The sequence below is a fragment of the Homo sapiens genome, chromosome 13 (genome assembly GCF_000001405.40).
Source record: "Homo sapiens chromosome 13, GRCh38.p14 Primary Assembly".
NCBI lineage: Eukaryota > Metazoa > Chordata > Mammalia > Primates > Hominidae > Homo > Homo sapiens.
In genome coordinates, this window is record NC_000013.11 from 22,944,307 (window position 1) to 22,951,095 (window position 6,789).

A 6,789-nucleotide genomic window follows, 5' to 3' on the forward strand; every position below is an offset into this window, starting at 1 on the left:
TCCCCGCTCAAACACCCATGGAGATGAACTGTTCCAGCTCTAGCGAGAGCTCCAGGTCCACACCTTGGCTGGAGAGGACCGGAGCCTCCTCTCATCCCCCAGCCAAGTAGGCGCCTTTCTCTTCCCAGGCCCGCCAAGCCCCCTCCAGCCAGCGCTGCATTGGCCACTCCTGCTGCCAGCACCAAGCTGGCGAGGCTCTGAGCGCCGGCCCTGCTGTCCTGGGTCCTGGGTCCACCCCTGCAGAGCAAGCCCACCCATCCAGTCCCCGCCGCACCACCAGGCACAGCCCTCCACAGCCCTCAGCAGTACAATCTGAAATCTTCGGCACTTGTTCTTCCTGGCTGTTTGCCTCTCTCCCCGCGGGGAGGCGCCTCTGAGTCCCCAGGGCCTGACTCTCACAGTGCTCAGTGATTATTTGTTGAATGAATAAATGTCCTTGACACCCCATCCAGCAGTCTCCCCTGCTTGCTTCTGAGCTGGTTTCTCTCTTTCACGACTGTCCTGACTCCGCTGGCTCACTTTCCCACCCTATTCTGCGACCCTATCATCTTTTGTTTTCTTGTATTTCTTCTTAGGTTTTGTTTTTCTTCATGATCTGTGTTCTTTGTCCCAATGTTTTATTATGGGATAGTTCCAACATTAGGGACAAATTACATAGGGTAATATGAACCCACCACCTGGACTGGACAAATATTAGCATTCTGCCATATTCGCTTTAGGTAATCATTTTTAGAAGTGAAACATTATGCATAGACCCCTGGTATATCATTCACCAATCCCATTTTCCTCTCCCCTCGACAGCCTTCTCAATCATGTTTGATATCTTTACCACAATCTATCCTGTTGTTTAATAAAGATATGTTGTAATACTTTACACAAATGGTATCCCACGGTGCATATCATGTGTGCCCTTTGTTTCTTTTTTAACTCAACATTACATTTTCAGATTGATCTGCGTCTGTGCAGGACCAACTGTTGCAGATGCCTCTGTCTTACTAATTTCTGTGAGTTCTTTACACACGCTGGATGATGAACACTGGTCTGTCATGTGTAAGCAGACCAACTACTGGATAGTACTTTGTACACATATGCCATGGATGTATAGCCTGTGTTCACTCGCCAGCCCTCATTGTTCTGATGGGTCACTGTCATAAGGGGGGCAGTGGACACATTCCTGGGGAGACCTTCTTGTGCAAACATGCAACAAGGTCTCCAGTCTAGAGAGAGGGACTTGCCAGGTGGAGGAACATGCCTGGTTCCAGCTTCACTAGGAGTAGCTAAATGGCTCTCCAAAGGGTGGAGCCAACGAACCTTCCCTTTAGCATGAGCCTAGCGCTCCCTTGCCCACTGCCAGCTTTGTTACTCTTAGATCCTTAATCTCTGTTAATCTGATGACTATAAAGCAAAAGGTTACTTTAATTTTCATTTTCCTGGTAACTGGGGAGAGGCTGCATCTTTTCAGGTCATTGCGTGTCTCGTTTCCTCTTCTGATAATTGCGAGTTTGTATCACTTGCCTGGTTTTCACTAAGTTCGTTATACAGTAAACATGCATATGTAAACGTATATATCTTTACTAAAACAATGGGATACATTGTGGTAAAGATATCAAACATGATTGATAAGGCTGTCAAGGAGAGAAGATAATGGGATTGGTAACTGACATACCAGGGCTCCACTCTATTCATAAATGTTTCACTTCTATTTGTCTTTTTGATTTATGTGAGCTCTTTTTATGAGATGGATAACCATCATCTCTCTGTTTTGTTTATAGCAAATATTTCCTCCTGAGTGTGGCTGGTCTTTTGGCTTTCAGCTTTGTGGCACCTCTTGTTGTATAGAAGCTATTAATCATAACATAGTCAGCTTTATCAAACTTCAGTTTTATGTGGTTTATGTTTGTCTGTCTTGCTGGAGAAACTTTTATGGGCCAGGTGCAGTGGCTCACGCCTGTAATTCCAGCACTTTGGGATGCTGAGGCAGGTGGATCACTTGAAGTCAGGAGTTCAAGACCAGCCTGGCCAACATGGCGAAACCCATCTCTACTAAAAATACAAAAATTAGCCTGCTGTGGTGGCGTGTGCCTGTAATCCCAGCTAGTCAGGATGCTGAGGCAGGAGAATCACTTGAACCTGGGAAGTGAAGGTTGCAGTGAGCCACTGCACTCCCGTCTGGGCAACAGAGTGAGACTCCATCTCAAAAAAGAAAAAAGAAAGAAAGAAAGAAAAAGGAACTTTTCTGTACTTTGACATCATAAAGCTATTTCACTATAGTTTATTCTAAATGTTTTAAAGTTTTGCATTTCATATGTAGGACTTTAACCCATCTGAACTTTATTCCTGGTGCAGTGTTAGATAATAATATGAATATTTTACCTCTCTGTCAGTGACATTTGACCAACGAACAGTTGTTCCTGTTGATGTATGGATCCCTGTGGTGCGTACCGGGTTTCCACTCTGTGCAGGTCTGCTTTTGCCTTTCTGTTCTGTTCTGCTGATCTGTTTATTCTTGAATAGTCTCTATCAAAACTCTAGAGGAAATCTCTTGGTATTTGGTAGAGAAAACATATCTACCCTCTGCTTCTTCTTCAAACCTGTCTTCACCATCCTGGGTCCTTTACTATTCCATGCGAAGGGGTAATCCATCTTATCAGGTGCCATGAGAAAACGCTGCTAGGATTTTAATGAAATTGCATTTAATTTATTGATTATTTTAGAGGAGAGCTGAACATTTGAAACTGAGTTTTTGTATTCATGATGTAGCCTTCCAATTAGTTAAATCTTCATCTATAGCCCTCAAAAAAATTGTATTAGTTTCTCATTTAAAATGTCCCACATCTTTATTATACTTATTTCTAAATACCTTAGAGTTTTATTGCTATTGCGAATGGTGTGTTTTTTCTATTACAGTCTCCTGTTAGTGTTGGCTAGTGCATAGCAGTGCTGTGGATTTTTATATCTTCTTATATTAAACCTCATTAGCTCTCATTGTAAAGTCTTAAAAATTTTTGTATGCAGAAAGTTATATTGTCTACCCCAAAAATATGAAAATTTATGTCTCCTCCTTTCCAATCCTCACTCCTCTTTTTCCATCTTGTCTTGCAACGTTGGCTGGATCATCAGACCATGCTGAGTGATGGCTATGAGAGAGTCAACTCCCTGCTTTCCACTTTAATGGGACTGCATCTGGAGTTTCATGGGAAGCTTGAGCTTTGATACAGGCTGGCTGTGGCTGCGTTTTATCAGGCTAAGGTCATCCTTGTAGCTCTTGTTATCTAAGAGCCTCTGCTGGGAAGGAGGGTAAAATAAACCCAGGCTATATCCTCTGAGATGATGGTAAGTTTATCTCCTGAGACTTGTTGATGAGGCTGACAATAAAAGTGGATTGCCTAGAGATACTTTATGCTTATGTTCCCAGGACAAAGCCCGTCATAACTGATTCTGCAGCCGGTTCCCCATCCTCACCCCTGGTGTGACCAGCCAGCCTGGCCATGTGCCCACCCTCTGCTGACCACTGGCTCTTGTTGATGACTCCCACCCCCACATATACACATAGTTCAATGGACAAAAAATTCTAGGAAGAGAGTGGAGCCGTTATCCAGGTATCTTTTTTTTTTTTTTTTTTGAGACGGAGTCTGGCTCTGTCGCCCAGGCTGGAGTGCAGTGGCGCAATCTCGGCTCACTGCAAGCTCTGCCTCCCGGGTTCACGCCATTCTCCTGCCTCAGCCTCCCAAGTAGCTGGGACTACAGGCGCCCGCCACCACACCGGCTAATTATTTGTATTTTTAGTAGAGACAGGATTTCACCATGTTAGCCAGGATGGTCTCAATCTCCTGACCTCATGATCCGCCTGACTCGGCCTCCCAAAGTGCTGGGATTAAAGGTGTGAGCCACCGTGCCCGGCTGCCATTATCCAGGTATCTATTACCAAAGAGCCTCCCACAGGGGGGTAGTTCCATCAAAAGTAGTAACCAACCCAGGGAATAAGTGTATGTATTTCTCTCCAGAGCAAAAAGGTTGATGTATACACATCTGTTCCACCAAATAGGCAATCTGGTGACTGTTGGGCTAACCGTCCAGGGATCTGAGGGCCTCTCTGGGTTCTCCAAGTGCACTCCTCCCCCAATGCCAGGATTCAGGGACTGCCTCCTGAGTGGCTCTCATCCACTCTGTCTCTAGGACGATGCACCCACAGCACCATCGGCCCAGCACAGCACCCCCTGCGTTCCTTGCTGCCCTCCAATTGCTCGGGTGTCCCAGATGATGGGTGCAGCCTAGCAGTGGGGTGGGCAGGGCCGTGACTGGGCTTCTCGCATCTCTTGTGTTAAATTTCTTTCTTCTGCTCAATGCTTCCCACCCTGAAAGAAAAAGGTATGCTCCAGGGCAGAGGATGCGAGGTGAATTCTCACATTGAAGTTAGGGGTACCATTGACGGGCAGCGGTCAGACACAGCCGCGGGTCAGCAGCGCTTAAAAAGGGTTTGAGAGTCGTGAGGCTCAGGATGGCATCTGAGGCCACAGGAGCATATCTCACTCACTCACACGCCTGCCACGGGGCTGAGGGTGAGCTGATGAAGGAGGAAAGGAAGGAGGAGCTGACAAATAAATTGCTTTTAAAATGACTTACAATGTTGTGATTCAGTGGTTATTCCCTGAGCCTCCCCTCACCTGCTCCTGACACCGGGACTCGCCGCAGAGGTGTCTGGACCATGGTCCGGGGGGCGGCTCTGAGCGTCCCCTCCGAGCATCCCTCGGTGTCTCCTTTAGCCATTCTCCTTACTCTGCTCCACTGGTCCCTGACCAGTCACTGCTGTGAGAGAGAAAAGCTATCCCTTTATGTCACTTCGTTGCAGACTTTGTGACTCGCAAAATATTAACTGACTGATGTTTAGAGACACTTCATCCTTGGCAGAATCGGAGGCACAACTTCCCTTGAAAAGCTCCAGAGGTTTTTGGGAGGCCGAGGTGGGCGAATCACAAGGTCAGGAGATCAAGACCATCCTGGCTAACACAGTGAAACCCTGTCTCTACTAAAAATAAAAAATAAAAAATAAATTAGCCAGGCGTGGTGGTGGGCGCCTGTAGTCCCAGCTACTTGGGAGGCTGAGGCAGGAGAATGGCGTGAACCCGGGAGACAGAGCTTGCAGTGAGCCAAGATTGCACCACTGCACTCCAGCCTGGGCGACAGAGCGAGACTCTGTCTCAAAAAAAAAAAAAAAAAAGAAAAGAAAAAAGAAAAGAAAAGCTCCAGAGGTAGGTGGCTTTGGCCACCTGGTCCTCCTAGGGGCATCTGGTCTCTTTCTTTCAAGTCAAGGGCAGAGACTTGGGGCATTTGAAGAGAGGTCTGATGTGACTTTCCACTTTAAATCGTGGAAGAGGGATGCTGGAAGCATGGCTTTATCCCTCCCTTCTCAAATCAACCTACCTACCTCTTCTGAAATGGATGCTGGCTACTGGGTGGGCTGAGTCCTCCCTGCTCCAGACAGGTGGCAGTAGAAAGAGGTTGAGAGTGGCAGCAACTCGGAAGACTTACAAGGCTTACTCCTAAATATGTAGATTGCCTAGTGATAATGTAGATTGCCTAGTGACAAAAGTATCATTAGGCAATCTACATTAGACATACATATGCATATGTATATATACTACTTTATATATAACATATATATACATATATGCACATATTATATATATCAGTAAGGATTCGTGAACATTTATTTTTATTTATTTATTGTGAGACAGAGTCTCACTCTGTCGCCAGACTGGAGTGCAGTGGTGCAATCTCAGCTCACTGCAACCTCCGCCTCCCAGGTTCAAGTGATTCCCCTGCCTCAGCTTTCCAAGTAGCTGGGACTACTCCCATCTGGTGTATTAGTAGTAGCTGGTGGCATGCACCACCACGCCTGGCTAATTTGTTTTTGTATTTTGGTAAAGATGAGGTTTCACCATGTTGGCCAGGATGGTCTCGATCTCCTATTTTGCATTGCATGTGCTTTATTTTGTTGCTCAGATTATTCCAGCTTTGGCTACTGGGAACTCTTTCAGTGGTTCCTGTGTCCCTCCGGCATAATCTCATTCTTGTGGGGTTTTTAAACGCTTCTTTACTTCCTGGCACTACACGATGCTCTAGCCTTCTTTTGTATAATCCTTACCCCAGCCCTAGAATCAGCCATTTATCTAAGGATTTCTGATTCCTTTTATTGGAGAAAGGCATTAGAAACCAAGATGTGGGCACTGGGTGTGCTTATTGTGACTGGAGTGTCAATGGAAATTCTGGAGATTAAAAGTATAGTGATTAAAGTAGAAAATTTACTAGAGAGGTTTGACGGTAGATTTGAATTGGCAGAAGAGGTAATGAACTAATTTAATGATAAATAAATACAGAGTATTCAATTTGAAGAACAGATAGATAGAAAAAAAACTAACAGAGCTTCAGTGAAATGTGGAACACCACTAAGCACCCCAACCTACATGTATTGGGAGTGCCAGAAGGGAGGAGAAATAGAAGGAGACAGGAAAAGTACTTGAAGAAATAATGGCTAAAAACTTTCCAAATCTGATGAAAAATACTAGCCTCACATCCAGGAAGCTCAATACTGCAAGTGGGATAAAAACAAAGAGAAACACCCAAACACATCATAATCAAAACATTAAAGACAAACACAAACAGAAAATTTTGAAAGCAGTTGATGACAGAAAAATCCAAATTTTGCCAAAATATATTTAAAGAGGTTTATTCTGGGCTAATATGTGTGACTATGGCCCAGGTTACACAATCTCAAGAGGTCCTGAGAAA

The 6,789-nt window shown here is 45.1% G+C and overlaps 1 annotated feature.

The window, feature by feature from the left end:
- Positions 3,840 to 4,009: an enhancer, noted in NCBI's record as "experimental_32642 CRE fragment used in MPRA reporter constructs". NCBI's record gives its function as "activates a minimal promoter by MPRAs in K562 erythroleukemia cells, with activity observed for the introgressed 13:23522370 variant allele {active_cell/tissue: K562}" and the evidence as "EXISTENCE:reporter gene assay evidence [ECO:0000049][PMID:34662402]".